This window comes from Homo sapiens, chromosome 3 (genome assembly GCF_000001405.40).
Source record: "Homo sapiens chromosome 3, GRCh38.p14 Primary Assembly".
Lineage (NCBI taxonomy): Eukaryota > Metazoa > Chordata > Mammalia > Primates > Hominidae > Homo > Homo sapiens.
The window spans coordinates 38,337,741-38,354,401 of NC_000003.12; the positions used below are offsets into that span (position 1 = coordinate 38,337,741).

General features: G+C 43.8%; 1 protein-coding gene across 17 annotated transcripts in view, besides 4 other annotated features; it reads left to right on the plus strand.

Annotated features, from left to right (window-relative positions):
* Positions 8,822–9,653: an enhancer, noted in NCBI's record as "H3K27ac-H3K4me1 hESC enhancer chr3:38388053-38388884 (GRCh37/hg19 assembly coordinates)". NCBI's record gives its function as "activates a minimal SCP1, AML or CMV promoter by ChIP-STARR-seq in naive H9 embryonic stem cells {active_cell/tissue: H9 hESC(naive)}" and the evidence as "EXISTENCE:reporter gene assay evidence [ECO:0000049][PMID:30033119]".
* Positions 9,045–16,661, plus strand: part of XYLB (xylulokinase) — a 106,257-nt gene continuing 98,640 nt past the window's right edge. For 14 of the 17 annotated variants that reach the window (NR_146068.2, XR_001740394.3, XR_001740393.3 and 11 more), the window contains exons 1-2: positions 9,045–9,185; positions 10,810–10,892. Coding sequence is in view for 10 of the 17 variants with exons in the window: in XM_011534327.3 (XP_011532629.1) it covers positions 9,129–9,185; positions 10,810–10,892 (140 nt within the window). In the remaining 7 variants the exon portion in view is untranslated. The other 3 variants (XM_024453850.2, XM_017007596.2, XM_047449382.1) reach the window with 3 other exon arrangements.
* Positions 9,212–9,451: a silencer, noted in NCBI's record as "silent region_14208". NCBI's record gives its function as "represses an Ori minimal core promoter by ATAC-STARR-seq in GM12878 lymphoblastoid cells {active_cell/tissue: GM12878}" and the evidence as "EXISTENCE:reporter gene assay evidence [ECO:0000049][PMID:35858748]".
* Positions 9,462–9,521: a silencer, noted in NCBI's record as "silent region_14209". NCBI's record gives its function as "represses an Ori minimal core promoter by ATAC-STARR-seq in GM12878 lymphoblastoid cells {active_cell/tissue: GM12878}" and the evidence as "EXISTENCE:reporter gene assay evidence [ECO:0000049][PMID:35858748]".
* Positions 9,654–10,485: an enhancer, noted in NCBI's record as "H3K27ac-H3K4me1 hESC enhancer chr3:38388885-38389716 (GRCh37/hg19 assembly coordinates)". NCBI's record gives its function as "activates a minimal SCP1, AML or CMV promoter by ChIP-STARR-seq in naive H9 embryonic stem cells {active_cell/tissue: H9 hESC(naive)}" and the evidence as "EXISTENCE:reporter gene assay evidence [ECO:0000049][PMID:30033119]".

A 16,661-nucleotide genomic window follows, 5' to 3' on the forward strand; every position in this document is an offset into this window, starting at 1 on the left:
CAAATTTGCTCCTAACATGAGTACAAATTAACAGCAGATATATTCACACTTTGGTGAAAATAAAAACTTTTCTCCTCAAAGCTCTTTGGAATCTGTTTGCTTAAATATCAAAGTCCATCAAACTTTTCTACAGATACAAACCCAAACTCAGCTTTTAAAAATTTTAACCTCAGCTGCATGAGTTACTTATTTAACTGGAGGTAGACCTACCCCCACCCTCAAACATTTGTCCTGCTATGGGTTGTAGTTCGAAACATTTATTTTCACTTGTAAGAGCGTCCCACTGATCTTACAAAGAATTTTACTGACTCTGGTATAGAAAGGACAGAAGAAATATTCATTTCCAACATATCACAAGATGAAATCTTCTATATGTGTACATGTTATAGAATTTCAGATATATACAATCCATTAGTGAATCTGAATTATAATTGATTTGTCTAATTCATTCCCTACTTTCAGATTTTTTTATGATTTATTTTTATTTCATTTTTTAGAGGTGGGGTCTCACTATATTGTCCAGAGTGGTCTTGAACTCCTGGGTTCAAGCAATCCTCCCACATCTACCTCCCAAAGTACTGGGATTACAGGTATGAGCCACCATGCCTGCCCTCTGATTATTTTTAATTCAGTAATTTTATCTTTGTCTTGGAAGTAGAAGGGATAAAATTTAAGCTACTAATATACTGCCAACTTTTTACTTTTAAAATTACTCATTCTGGCCCGTCGTGGTGGCTCACGCCTGTAATCCCAGCACTTTGGGAGGCTGAAGTGGGTGGATCATTTGAGGTCAGGAGTTTGAGACCAGCCTGCCCAACATGGTGAAACTCCATCTCTACTAAAAATACAAAAATTAGCCGGGTGGTAGTGGTGTGCGCCTGTAATCCCAGCTACTCAGGAGGCTGAGGCAGGAGAATCACTTGAGCCTGGGAGGCGGAGGTTGCGGTGAGCCAAGATCATGCCACTGCACTCCAGTCTGGGCAATAGAGTGATGTCCTGTCTCAAAAAAATAAGTAAAAACAAATAAGATAAAATTACTCATTCTGAAAAATATATACAAGCCTGAGTTGTTTCAATAGTTATCAATATTAATGAATGCAGATTTAGGAATGTGTGAGCTAAAAACAACTAGCCTGCAATTAATAGAATAAAGCATAATAAAGAATTAACAGAATAAAGCATACTGGAATTTAAAAATAATGCATCTTTATGAAGAAAGCACATTTTCTTAAGGACCTTTGCCAATATAAAGTTTTACTTTGAGAAAAATTCATGTTTCACATGGCTACAAACCTCAAAGAAATGTTCTGATGTTGTTTCACTGGAGACCAGTGTATAAGAATTGGATTGATGTTTGTCCCTTTTTTCTTATTTTGCAATACGTTTTCATTATTATATTTACTAAATGAAAAGTTTTTTCTTTCTCTGAAAAGCTTACACCTAGTGCTTTTCCTTGAATTCATTTTCACTGATTTCTGTTATGATGATAATTTATTCAGCTGAAAAATGCCTAGATTCAAAGAAAATTCAATAATGCAAAATTCAAAGATCTTGCTAATAGAAAAAAATGTGAGCTAATGTCTTGTAGAAAATATAGGATTATATATTTGTTGACTGAGGTTGGGGAAGCACTTCTTAAGATCAAATAACTTGGACAATAAGGCAAAAAATTGATGGATTTTATTATATTCAAATTAAAGATTTCCAGTCAACAAAAGGTTAGTTGGATCAAGTTAACAGACAAATGACATATTGGGAGAAGATAGTTGCAACATCTAAAATGAACAGGGGATTTATATCTTGAAACATCCAGAAATTCCTACAAATCCACAAGAAAGAGACAAAAATATTCAACTGAGAAATGAGCAAAGGATAAGTATGGAATTTACTGAATGAGAAATCCTGAGTGGCCAATGAGTATATATGAAGAAATGCTCCAATTCAACAATAATGAGAAAAAACACAAATTACAACAGTAAGGGAAATCACTTCTCATCTATTAAACCGGCAAAAAATTAGAAGGATGGAAATGCCAAGTGCTAAATATGGGGGGTAGGGATGGGGTAGCCTCATGCATTCCAGGCGGGAGCATTGACTGGCACAGCCATTCTCAGGAGTACTCCAGCATTCTCTGGTCCAATCAGTCATGCACACATCATATAAATCCTACTCTCAGACATAAAGCCCAGAAACATTCTCTCACACAGGTCCATACGGCCATGGGGGAGGGGGATCCATGCAATGCTGTTTGCACTGAACTGGACTCCACCCAGGTGTCACTCACTGGGGGCCTGGATAATAAAATGTGGTGTTGGCTCACTAACAAATATGATCGAATATGATCAACTAGACCAGGGGTTCCCAAACATTCTCACTTCATGCACCAATGTCTTCACGGTGTTCCTAGGCCAAAAGAAATGGCTAACAGCTCTGGCTAGCCATTCTGTTCTGTTATTAAGTAGATGGTCCAAACAGCTTAATAGGTATTTATGTCCCAACACACTAGTACCTGTTTGAAGAAATTTATACACATACATTGGAGGAAAAAATAATATTTCATTCTTAAATAACCAGAATTATTTACTGAGGGGATGTGATGTGTGTGCCTGTTGGGCACCGTGTGGCTTCTCAAATGTTGGGGTCAGATTGGACATGTGCCCTTATTTTGTTTCCCCTTGATTTTCATGCAGTATCTGCTTGTCACTACAACTGCTAAAAATACAGCTTCGCAAAAATAAGATGTCATGGAAAGGAATGTAGCAGTCTAATGCTGGAACTGTGAACTACCTCAAGTTAGTGGTTCACATGATGCCTGACAGATGTTTTGCATCACTGTGTTTCCCACCAAAATGGAAAGTATCCCAAAGCACCTCTATGGGTTCCCTGAAGCTACCCAGAGCACGTTGGTGCAGTTTGGGAACCACAGGATTAGATATATACATGAATATTAACAAATCTTCAAAACGGTGCTGAATTTTAAAAGTACTTAAACTGTTAGGGGCTGAATGTTTGTGTCTCTCCAAAATTCACTGAAGTCCTAACCCCCAATGCGATGGTATTAGGAGATGGGGTCTTTGGGAGGTAATTAGATCTAGATTAGGTCAGGAGGGTGGGGACCTCATGATGAGATTATTAAATTTTAAGAAGAGGAAAAGATGAGAGAGCTTTCCCTCTCCCCACATGCATACTTGGAGATAAGGCTGTATGTGAGCCTACATTAAGAAGGCTGCTGTCTACAAGCCAAGAAAAGAGCCCTCACCAGGAACTGAATTTGCTAGCCCCTTGATGTTAGAATTCCCAGCCTCCAGAACTGTGGGAAATAAATACCTGTCATTTAAGCCATCAATCTGTGGCAATTTGTGAAAGCAGCTCAGGCTAAAAAGCACAAAGTAAGGTCTATGGGCTTGCTCTTGCTGTTTTGATGACCTGCCCTCTTTACTGCTAAGCCTGAGGGAGAGGCTCCTAGGCAGCACTTCACCCTGTCAAAAGCCCTACCTCCCAGAAAGGTTCTAGTGCAGGAGTGTCCAATCTTTTCACTTCCCTGGGCCACATTGGGCCACACATAAAATACACCAATGATAGCTGATGAGCTAAAATAAAAATCCCCCCCAAAATCTTTTTATTATTATTATTATTATTATTATACTTTAAGTTTTAGGGTACATGTGCACAATGTGCAGGTTAGTTACATAAGTATACATGTGCCATGCTAGTGCACTGCCCCCACTAACTCGTCATCTAGCATTAGGTATATCTCCCAATGCTATCCCTCCCCCTTCCCCCCACCCCACAACAGTCCCCAGAGTGTGATGTTCCCCTTCCTGTGTCCATGTGTTCTCATTGTTCAATTCCCACCTATGAGTGAGAATATGTGGTGTTTGGTTTTTTGTTCTTGCCATAGTTTACTGAGAATGATGATTTCCAATTTCATCCATGTCCCTACAAAGGACATGAACTCATCATTTTTTATGGCTGCATAGTATTCCATGGTGTATATGTGCCACATTTTCTTAATCCAGTCTATCATTGTTGGACATTTGGGTTGGTTCCAAGTCTTTGCTATTGTGAATAATGCCGCAATAAACATACGTGTGCATGTGTCTTTATAGCAGCATGATTTATAGTCCTTTGGGTATATACCCAGTAATGGGATGGCTGGGTCAAATGGTATTTCTAGTTCTAGATCCCTGAGGAATTGCCACACTGACTTCCACAATGGTTGAACTAGTTGACAGTCCCACCAACCGTGTAAAAGTGTTCCTATTTCTCCACATCCTCTCCAGCACCTGTTGTTTCCTGACTTTTTAATGATTGCCATTCTAACTGGTGTGAGATGATATCTCATTGTGGTTTTGATTTGCATTTCTCTGATGGCCAGTGATGGTGAGCATTTTTTCATGTGTCTTTTGGCTGCATAAATGTCTTCTTTTGAGAAGTGTCTGTTCATGTCCTTCGCCCACTTTTTGATGGGGTTGTTTGTTTTTTTCTTGTAAATTTGTCTGAGTTCATTGTAGATTCTGGATATTAGCCCTTTGTCAGATGAGTAGGTTGCGAAAATTTTCTCCCATTTTGTAGGTTGCCTGTTCACTCTGATGGTAGTTTCTTTTGCTGTGCAGAATCTCTTTAATTTAATTAGATCCCATTTGTCAATTTTGTCTTTTGTTGCCATTGCTTTTGGTGTTTTGGACATGAAGTCCTTGCCCATGCCTATGTCCTGAATGGTAATGCCTAGGTTTTCTCCTAGGGTTTTTATGGTTTTAGGTCTAACGTTTAAGTCTTTAATCCATCTTGAATTAATTTTTGTATAAGGTATAAGGAAAGGATCCAGTTTCAGCTTTCTACATATGGCTAGCCAATTTTCCCAGCACCATTTATTAAATAGGGAATCCTTTCCCCATTGCTTGTTTTTCTCAGGTTTGTCAAAGATCAGATAGTTGTAGATATGCAGCGTTATTTCTGAGCGCTCTGTTCTGTTCCATTGATCTATATCTCTGTTTTGGTACCAGTACCATGCTGTTTTGGTTACTGTAGCCTTGTAGTATAGTTTGAAGTCAGGTAGTGTGATGCCTCCAGCTTTGTTCTTTTGGCTTAGGATTGACTTGGCGATGCGGGCTCTTTTTTGGTTCCATATGAACTTTAAAGTAGTTTTTTCCAATTCTGTGAAGAAAGTCATTGGTAGCTTGATGGGGATGGCATTGAATCTATAAATTACCTTGGACAGTATGGCCATTTTCATGATATTGATTCTTCCTACCCATGAGCATGGAATGTTCTTCCATTTGTTTGTATCCTCTTTTATTTCCTTGAGCAGTGGTTTGTAGTTCTCCTTGAAGAGGTCCTTCACATCCCTTGTAAGTTGGATTCCTAGGTATTTTATTCTCTTTGAAGCAATTGTGAATGGGAGTTCACTCATGATTTGGCTCTCTGTTTGTCTGTTGTTGGTGTATAAGAATGCTTGTGATTTTTGTACATTGATTTTGTATCCTGAGACTTTGCTGAAGTTGCTTATCAGCTTAAGGAGATTTTGGGCTGAGACAATACTGGCAAACCGAATCCAGCAGCACATCAAAAAGCTTATCCACCATGATCAAGTGGGCTTCATCCCTGGGATGCAAGGCTGGTTCAATATATGCAAATCAATTAATGTAATCCAGCATATAAACAGAACCAAAGACAAAAACCACGTGATTATCTCAATAGATGCAGAAAAGGCCTTTGACAAAATTCAACAACCCTTCATGCTAAAAACTCTCAATAAATTAGGTATTGATGGGACGTATTTCAAAATAATAAGAGCTATCTATGACAAACCCACAGCCAATATCATACTGAATGGGCAAAAACTGGAAGCATTCCCTTTGAACACTGGCACAAGACAGGGATGCCCTCTCTCACCACTCCTATTCAACATAGTGTTGGAAGTTCTGGCCAGGGCAATTAGGCAGGAGAAGGGTATTCAATTAGGAAAAGAGGAAGTCAAATTGTCCCTGTTTGCAGACGACATGATTGTATATCTAGAAAACCCCAAAATCTTATAATATTTTAAGAAAGTTTACTGATTTGTGTTGAGCTGCATTCAAAGCCATCCTGGGCCACATGCAGCCCATGGGCTGCAGGTTGGACAAGCTCGGTCTAGTGAATTCCACCATTACACCTCTCTCATGATCTCTTTCTGTGTCTTTGATAGCCTTCACAGCTCCCTATGTGGGTTCATCTGTCCACTCTGAGCCCTTTCTGTGCAAACTAACCCACTCTTATTGGGAGCTGACATCTGCTGTCAAAAGACAAAATTACAACAAATTTAAAGATCCTAAATGGATTTTATCTGTGATTCTAGAATTGGACAACACCTCATTCTGTACAAAAGAAGGAGTGTTCCAATGATCTGAGCAAAGGATGTATAACCACCCGACAGGTTCACCTTGCCCACTGCCTAGACAGAGCCAATTTATCAAGACAGGGGGACTGCAATAGAGAATGAGTAATTCACACAGAGCCAGCTGTGTAGGAGACCAGAGTTTTATTATTACTCAAATCAGTCTCCCAGAGCATTTGGGAATCAGAGTTTTTAAGAATAATTTGGTGGGTGGGTGGAGGCCAGTGAGTTGGGAGTGCTGATTGGTTGGGTCGGAAATGAACTCATAGGAATTTGAAGCTATCTTCTTGTGCTGAGTCAGTTCCTGGGTGGGGGCCACAAGATCAGATGAGCCAGTTTATGGAGCTGGGTGGTACCAGCTGATCCATCAAGTGCAGGGTCTCTAAAATATCTCAAGCACTGATCTTAGGTTTTACAATAGTGATGTTATCCCCAGGAGCAATTTGGTGATGGTCAGAATCTTGTAGTCTCCAGCTGCATGACTCCTAAACCTTAATTTCTAATCTTGTGGCTAATTTGTTAGTCCTACAAAGGCAGTCTAGTCACAGGCAAGAAGGAGATTTGTTTTGGGAAAGAGCTGTTATCATCTTTGTTTTAAACTATAAAGTAAGTTCCTCCCAAAGTTAGTTCTGCCTATGCCCATGAATAAGCAATGACAGCTTGGAGGCTAGAAGCAAGATGGAATTGGTTAAGTCAGATCTCTTTCACTGTCTCAGTTATAATTTTGCAATGGCAGTTTCATTAGGCCACGTTAACTAACTTCTCTACACCTCAGTTTCTCACTCTGTAAAATGAAGATGGTAAGTTATACGAAGTTCAAAGTGAGTTTATACTGGTAGACATCAGAATAGTGATTGCCTTGGGAGTTTAGGAAGGGTCATGAAGGAAACTTCTGGAGTGGTGGAAATGTTCTGTTTTGATCTCAGTGTTTATATGGGTATATACATACATTTTTAAAAAGTCATTGGCCAGGCACGGTGACTCACGCCTGTAATCCCAGCACTTTGGGAGGCTGAGGCAGGTGGATCACATGAGGTCGGAGTTTGAGACCAGCCTGACCAACATGGTGAAACCCCATCTCTACTAAAAATACAAAATTAGAGCCATACGCAGTGGCTCACGCTTGTAATCCCAGCACTTTGAGAGGATGAGGCAGGCGGAACACCTGAGGTCGGGAGTTCAAGACCAGCCTAACAAACATGGAGAAACCTCGTCTCTACTAAAAATACAAAATTAGCTGGGCGTGGTGGCGGATGCCTGTAATCTCAGCTACTCGGGAGGCTGAGGCAGGAGAATCACTTGAACCCAGAAGGCAGAGGTTTCAATGAGCTGAAATCACGCCATTGCACTCCAGCCTGGGCAACAAGAGTGAAACTCCGTTTCAAAAAAAAAAAAAAATTAGCTGGGTGCGGTGGTGTGCGCCTGTAATCCCAGCTACATGGGAGGCTGAGGCAGAAGAATCAGTTGAACCAGGGAGGTGGAGGTTGCAGTGACCGGAGATCACGCCACTGCACTCCAGCCTGGGTGACAGGAGTGAAACTCTGTCAAAAAAAAAAAAAAAAGTCATCAAGCAGTTAAGATTAGATTAAAATGCAGTAATCTAATCTTAATTAGATTAGATACTTAGATACCTTTATTTAAAATTTTTTAAAAGTGGAGATAATAGTACCTACTTCCCAGCATCATTGTGACGATTAAATGTGCTCAGCAGGTTGCATAATTGTTTCTGATCTAGCTAGTATCCAGTATTTGTCTATTGTCACAGGTGGTGACTGCTGGAGGGGCTGAGTCCCCAATAAGCTGTGAATGTCTTGGAGGACAAGTATGTTGGCCCCTTCTTGTTCTAGCAGTGAAGAGGATCCCATGTAGACTCCAAGCAGCTCAAGTTCAGCAAGGGAGACAGACCATTGCAAGTGCATGAAAAGGGCACTGGTGGGCTGGGAAGTTCGTAGGAGGAGCCTCTCACATGCTGGGTTTGGGGAGGAATTCTGGAAAGCAGTTAGTCTTAGGGACGGGAAGGATGTAGCTGGTGGGACAGGCGCCCTCAGCTCCATGAATAAAAGGAGTGGGTCTGACTCTGGTTCTCATTCCCCTTTACCATGCCTGGCACACATTAGACCATCAATACCAATTGACTCCAGGAAGGAGTGTCTCCCCGTGGGGGCATCAGGAGCCGCTGAGTTTAAATACACAGGTGGGATGTGACACACTGGGAACCATTCAGATTTGCTGGATCTGGATAGGGCTTGTCAGGACTCAGTGCTTCCAACCCCAGGGCCCATTTCCCTGTGGCCCCTGAGTCACCACCATGGGTGGACAGCTGCTCCAGTGCCAAGATACAGCCACAGAGGACGGCAGGCCCAGGGCCTCCAGAAGGACAGGCAGGCTCCCTCTGAAAGACAAGCCGGCTTATAGCTGAAACCTCTGGCCCAGGCGTCCTCTAAGGGAAGCCAGGCGGTGTCAGGGCACGGCCCATGAAGACATAAGATGAAGATGGGGAGAACCAGAGGGGGTGCGCTTCGAAGGAAAGCGGGCTGCGTGGGGGCACCGTCGATTGCACAGGACGCGGTCCCGGCTCGCGTAGCCCCGCAGGCGGCGCCAGAGCGCAAGCCCGCCTCGTGACTCCGGTCCACAGTCCGGCCGGGCGGAGCTAGGGGCGGGCCCCTGCGTCTCTGGGCGCTGGAGCGCGGCGACTATCACGCCGCGTGGCGGACGGACGGACTGACGGACGCGCAGCCTTACCCGAAAGGCCATGGCGGAGCACGCCCCTCGCCGCTGCTGCCTGGGCTGGGACTTCAGCACGCAGCAGGTACAGTCGCCTGGCCGCAGGGCCACGGGGCCGCCTCCTCCGCTTCGGTGGGGGTAGGGGGCGGGCTGTCACCCGGACGCGGGAAAACATGGGCCCGGCCGCGGGCGCGCCTACCTCTCGGGCTTCCCGGGGCCCCCGCGCCCCTGCCCTGCGCGCGGCCGTGGGGCGCCGGTGCCCTCGCCCGGAGATGCCCTGCCAATGCCACCCGCTCGCAAGATGCGGCCTCGACCCCGCCTGGACCCAGCTACCCCAGGAAACTGCAGGCGCTCCTCGGCAGGACCCCCGGTGCCCAGAGGGGCCGGAGGACTCGGCGGGTTCCTGCGCTGTTCTGGGCACCCAGTGACGGGGATCCGAAGGAAGTCAGCTACTGTAAGGCAGGGGAACAGACAGGCGGGTAGCCCTGCGCACATGCACAACCAGTGACCTGGAAGCAGATTATAGCCCAAAACCTTTTTTTAAAAATTGAAATGGCCCAGGCCTGGTGGCTCTTGCCGGTAATCCCAGCACTTTGGGAGGCCGAGGCGAGTGGATCGCTTGAGCCCAGGAGTTCGAGACCAGCCTGGGCAATATGGAGAAACCCCGGTCTCTACCAGAAAATACAAAAATTAGCCGGGCATGGTGGAGCACACCTGTAGTCCCAGTTTTTCTGGAGGCTGAAGCGGATCGCTTGAGCCCAGGAGGTGGAGATTGCAGTGAGCTAAGATGGCGTCACCGGTCTCCAGCCTGGGCGACAGAACGGGACCCTGTCTCAAAAAAAAAAAAAGAAAAAAGTGAAATGCATAGTGTACAAGTGGACTTTACCCTGTGACCGCCCTTCGTTGACACCAGCTTGCCTGGTCTGTGCACCCAGGACTGCTGGCCAGAGGAGCAGTGTGCTGCTGCCAACGCCCTGCAGACAGGCAAGCAAATCAAAATTTGCCTTCAAAGAGGGCATGGGGTGACCGGGGGCACCTTTTCCTTTAAAGTACTTGGGAAATATACACAGTTGCAGTCAAACCCCTCTTCTCGAATGGGTCAAGGGAGGCAGGCCTCTGGCCAGTCCTTGGGGGAACGTCCTGTGGGACTCTGGATGACTCGAGTTGCCTTGCTGGACCTCAGTTTTCCCATCTGTCCAGGAAAGGAGTTATACTCCCAAGCTTGGAGATTGCTTCAGTGGGACATTAATGTCTCTGGACCACAATCATGGCCTGTGAGAATAGCCCATGGCCTTGCCTGGTCTCAGGCCTCTGCAGACATGGATCCCCAGAGATGCCTCCAAACCTTGCTTCCCATTCCTTCCTCTCTGGCACTTTCTCCCGCCTCCTTGTCAGGTGCACGAACCAACTCATCTGTGAACATCTTCCTCTAGAGGGTCTTGGCTTTGGCTATTTGGGGAACAAAGATTCCTTGAGACATGTGGGTGTTCCTACTTAGCCTCAGTTTCTTCATTTTACTAAATCTTTGAGTGTTACCCCAGATGAGTCCTCTGTTACCACGATTACGGTGAGGCAGCCCTGCCTTCAAGGAGGTCTCTAGGTTGAACTGCTCCTAGGGTGTGGGGCCTCATCTGGTGACGTTAGTACCCCCTGGACCAGTGTAGAAGCTGAGGAAAATTCTACACTTCCTTTTTTAAAATGCCTTTCAGGTAAAGGTTGTTGCTGTTGATGCAGAGTTGAATGTCTTCTATGAGGAAAGTGTGCATTTTGACAGAGATCTTCCAGAATTTGGGTATGTACTTGATGTGCATGTGTGTGTGATGGGGGTGTTGGTTTTGGGGTCCTCCCGCAAACTTTTGTATTCGCAGACCGCACTGTTGAGGCTTTGCCAAATACAGGAGTGGTGGTCTCGGCAGACCTTTCAAGCATCTTTTTTTCCTATACCTAGAGTGCCATCTCCCCCATTTCTTCCTAATTCCATTCATCCATTCATGAAGTAAGCATCAGTTGAGACCTACTTTGTGCCAGGTGCTAGGACCTGATGGCGAAACAAAAAGAGAAAGCTCTCCCAGAGCTTCCCACTGAGTAGTGGAGACTGGTATCAAACAAAGAATCTCACAAAAGAGTGTTTCATTATAAACTCTGAGAAGGCCTCTGAAGGAAAGGAACTCACTTCTCCAAGTGCTTATTATAAAGGAATGTGACTCAGACTTGGGAGGGGAAGTCCCAGAGCGTCTCTAGGGAAGTGGTGCTTAAGCTAGAGATCAGAGTGAGTGAAGTTAGCCAAGCGATGGAAGGGAAGTTGGCCAGGTGATGGAAGAGCATTCCAGGCAGAAGGAACAACATGTGCGAGGGCCCTGTGGCAAGAAAGAGCATGGTTCATTCCTTCATGCAATTGAAGAAAGCCAATGATGCTGGGGAGCAGAGAGAGGCGGAGGCTGGTCAGAGCTCCATAGGCCATGGTATAGAGTTTGTCTTTATTCTAAAAGCTATGGTCAGCCACTAAGGGCCATAAGGGGTAGGGGTATGGGTGAGGTATGAATGACAGGTTGTATTTTTGTTTTGAAAATATCTCTCTGGGGGCATTGGGAGAACAGATTCGGAGCATTGCTGGAATGGACGTGGGGAACTATTAAAGAGGTTTTTGCTGGTCATTCAGGTATGAAATGATGGATAGGAGAGAGCTGAGTAGTAAAATGGACAGGTCCTGTTACAAAATTGAATGTGAGATGTAAGGGTGGGATTTCTGGCTGTCCTTCAGAGTGGATGTTGGACTGTGGGAAAGAATGAGTTTTGGAGAGAAAGATCATGAGTTCAGCTTGGGCTGCCATAACAAGGTACCATAGACTGGGTGGGTTAAAGAGCGGAAATTTATATTCTCACACATCTGGCCGTTAGGAGTCTAAAATCAAAGTGCTGGGAAGATTGGTCTCCTCTGGGACCTCTCTCCTTGGCTTGCAGGTGACCACTCTCTTGCTGTGTCTTCACATGGTGGTCACTCGGTGCAGGAGTGCTTGGTGTCTCTGTCATCTGTATCCTAATCTTCTTATAAGGACATGAGTCATACTGGATTAAGGCCCATTCTAATGACTTCATTTTAACTTAATTGCCTTTTTAAAGGCCCTGTCTCCAAATAATCACAATCCAAGGCCCTCGGGGTTAGGATTTCAGCATATGAGTTTTAGGGGCAGAGGGGGCACAATTCAGTCCGTAACACTGTGGACTTGCTGGTTTTGAGGCACCCTCGTGAGGGCCTGGTAAAAGTGTCCTTCCCTGTCTGTTTTAGACACACTTCCTCTTTGAAGCCTTCCCAGCTGACCCTTTGTGCACCTCTCATTACCCATCACATTGTGTTGCCAACTCTTTGCCCCCAGCTAATGCGGCCCCATGGAGCCGAGGTTAGAAGCCATCTTGCTTTCTCACATTTTTTATTATTGCAGGCCTTGCATGTTTGCCTTTGGGTAGTTGGTATGTTTCAAGGAATTGGTCTTTTCAACTAAGCCATCAAATGTGTGGCCATAGTGTTGTTCATAATATTCCTTTATCCTCCTTATGACATCTGTGGGACCAGTAATGATGATCTCTTGCTGTTGGTCATTTCTGATATTGGTAATTTGTCTTCTCTCTTTTTTTCTTTGGTTATCCTGGCTAGAGGTTTATCAATTGTATTGATCTTTTCAAAGTTCAACTTTTGGTTTTGTTGATTTTCCCCTGTTGTTTTCTTCAAGTTGTGCTCTAATTTTTATTACTTAGTTTCTTCTGCTTGCTTTAGGTTTAAATTGCTCTTTTTTCCCTAGTTTCCTCAAGTGGAAACTTAGAGGATTGATTTAAGACCTTCTTTTCTAATATATGCATTTAATGCTATAAATTTCTCTGTAAACACAAATGCTTTTTATGGGATGCCTTAGCAGCATCCCATACATTTTGATAAGTTATAGTTTCATTTTTTTTCGTTCAAAATATTTTTTAGTTCTCTTGAGACTTCTTTGACTCATGGGTTATTTAGAAGAATGTTTTTAGGCTGGGTACAGTGGCTCACACCTGTAATCCCAGCACTTTGGGAGGCTGAAGCAGGCAGAACACTTAAGGTCCGGAGTTTGAGACCAGCCTGGCCAACATGGTGAAACCCTGTTTCTACTAAAAATACAAAAAAATTAGCTGGACGTGGTGGCAGGCATGGTGACAGGCACCGTGTATGCTGCACGCCTGTAATCCTAGCTAGCTGGGAGGCTGAGGCAGGAGAATTGCTTGAACTGTGGAGAGGGAGGTTTCGGTGAGCCAAGATCGCGCCACTGCACTCCAGCCTGGACAACAGAGGGAGAGCCTGTCTCAAAAAAAAAAAAAAAAAAAAAAAAAAAAGGAAGTCTGGAAGTGTGTTGTTTAATCTCCAGATTTTCCAGTTTTCTGTTATTGATTTCTAGTTTAATTTCATTGTGGTCTGAGAACATACCCTATATGACTTCTAGTCTTTCAAAATTTTAAAATTTCCTCTCCCTCACTCTCTCTTCCACTTAATAAGTCAGTCCTCTCCACTGGACATTTAAAAAAAGGTGTCCATAACCAAAATATGGTATTGCTTTTTTCCATTATATTTTCAAGATATTTTAAACCAGATGCCTATAGATTTAGTTCATTCCTTCCCCATCACCTCAATTGCATTGTGGGTTTTCTTTTTACAACTTTATTAAGGTATAACTGATGTACAATACTGTGCATATTTGGAGTATACAGTTAAAAGCTTTAATATCTGTATTCTTTCATGAAACTATCACCAAAATAAGACAATGAGTATTTCCATGTCCTAAAAATTTCCTCCTGCCTCTTTGCAAGCGATGCCTCCTTCCCCATACCCCTACCCACTGGCAACCGCTGATGTGTTTTCTATCACTAGTTTGTATTTTCTAGAATTTTGTATAGATGGAATCATAATTATGTATGCTTTTTTAAAACCTTTAAAATTTTACATCACAGTTTTGAGATTCATCCATGTTGCTACATGTGGCAATAGTTGGTTCCTATTATTGCCGAGTAGTATTTCATTGTATGATGTTGTATGGATGGACTACAATTGGTTTCACCTGATGAGGGATATTGGGGTTGTTTCTCTTTTCTGTTGTTATAAGCAAAGGGCTATGAGAGTCACATACAAGTCTTTTCGTGGACATATGATTTCATTTTTCTTGGAAATGACATACCAGGAGTACAGTGGCTGAGTTATACGGCAGGTATATGTTTAACTTCTTAAGGAATTCTCTTCCAAAGTGGTGATTTTAAGAAAAAAAATTTTATATTGTTAACAGGCATTACATTGCACTTAATATGTAACTCAATGAAAAGTATACAGTGAAAAGTCTTTTTTTTTCTTTTTTTCTTTCTTTTTTTGAGACAGAGTCTGGCTCTGTCGCGCAGGCTGGAGTGCAGTGGCACGATCTCGGCTCACTGCAAGTTCCGCCTCCCGGGTTGTCCTCCATTAGGAAATGGTACATCTACACAATGGAATACTACACATCTATAAAAAAGAACACAGAAGTTTTTATGTATTGACATGTAAACACAGCCACGTTACTGTGAAGTGAGTAAAGCAAAGTACAGATCAGTGAGTATAGTATGCTTTCTCTTGTATGAAAGGAGGAAAATCAGAATATTCATACCTTCCTATATTTCCATGTAAAAACACTGGAAGGAGCCTGGCACAGTGGCTCAAGCCTGTAATCCTAGCACTTTGGGAGGCTGAAGCGGGTGGATTGCTTGAGTCCAGGAGTTCAAGACCAGCCTAGGCAATATGGTGATACCCTGTCTCTACCACAAAAGTGCAAAAATTAGTCATGTGTGGTGGCGTGCACCTCTAGTCCCAGCTACACAGGAGGCTGAGGTGGGAGGATCACTTGAGTCCAGAAGGTGGAGGATACAATGAGCCAAGATCATACCACTGTACTCCAGTTTGAGGGACAGAGCCATACCTTGTCTAAAAAGTAAAAAAAAAAACTAGAAGGATACACAACAAATTAAAGTCATCTGTAGAGAAGGGACGGAGAGGAGAGATGAGCTCACAGGTGGGATTAAGACTTTTCACTGTTATATGGGGTTTCACCATGTTAGCCAGGATGGTCTCGATCTCCCAACCTCGTGATCTGCCTGCCTCAGCCTCCCAAAGTGCTGAGATTACAGGCGTGAGCCACCACACCTGGCCAAGTTGTCGCTATTATTGCCACGCACAGATATTTATGTCATTGAATTTCCCAGTCTCTTTTATTGCTTCTAGATTTTGAGTCATAGTTCAAAAGGCCTTCCTCACTCCAAAATTATGAAGGAACTCACCTATGTTTTTATCTAGTTCTTGTAAGATTTCAGCTTTCTTACATAAAAATATTTGGAGTTTATCCAGGTACGTAGTATGACATTTGTATCCAACTTTAATTTTTCCCAGATGATTCTTCAGTTGTTGTAACACCAACCATGTTTTTATTTAATTTATTTTTTTTATTTGAGACAGGAGCTGGCTGTCACCCAAGCTGGAGTGCAGTGGTGTGATTCAGCTCACTGCTATCTATGCCTCCCGGGCTCAAGCAATCCTCCCTCCTTAGCCTCCCAAGTAGCTGGAACCACAGGTGCGCCCCTACCATGACCAGCTAATTTTTTTGTATTTTTTTTGTAGAGATGGGGTCTCACTCTGTTGCCCAGGCTGGTCTCGAACTCCTGGGCTCAAGCAGTCCACCCACCTCTGCCTCCTAAAGTGCTGAGATTACAGGCGTGAACCACCACACCCAGCCTCAACCGGGTTTTTAGAAGCCCATCTTTACCTTTAAGAGGCTGAGGTGGGCGGATTACCTGAGGTCAGGAGTTCAAGACCAGCCTGGCTAACATGGTGAAACCCTGTCTGTACTGAAAATACAAAAATTAGCTGAGCATGGTGGTGGGTGCCTGTAGTCTCAGCTACTTGGGAGGCTGAGGCAGGAGAATCACCTGAACCTGGGAGGCAGAGGTTGCAGTGAGCTGAGATTGTGCCACTGCATTCCAGCCTGGGTGACAAAGTGAGACTCCATATAAAAAAAAAAAAAAAAAGAAGTCCATCTTTACCTCCATGATTTGAGATGTGAGGCTTATCATGTGCTACTTTCTGTGTTCACTTAGGTCCATTTTTGGGCTTTTGTTTTTGTTCCATGGTTTGGTAGATCTGTTCATAAGCCAGTAACACATTGTTTCAATTATCCCAGCTCTGTAATATGTTTGTTTGTTTGTTTATTTACTTTTGAGTTGGAGTCTCGCTCTGTCGCCCAGGCTGGAGTGCAGTGGCATGATCTCGGCTCACTGCAACCTCTGCCTCCTGGGTTCAAGTGATTCTTCTGCCTCAGCCTCCTGAGTAATTGGGATTACAGGCGCCCGCCACTGGCTAATTTTTGTATTTTTAGTAGAGATGGGTTTTTGCCATGTTGGCCAGGTTGGTCTCTAACTCCTGACCTCAGGTGATCCGCCTGCCTTGGCCTCCTGAAGTGCTGGGATTACAGGTGTGAGCCATTGCACCCGGCCTGTAATATGTTTTAATATCTAGAATTGTTGGTCC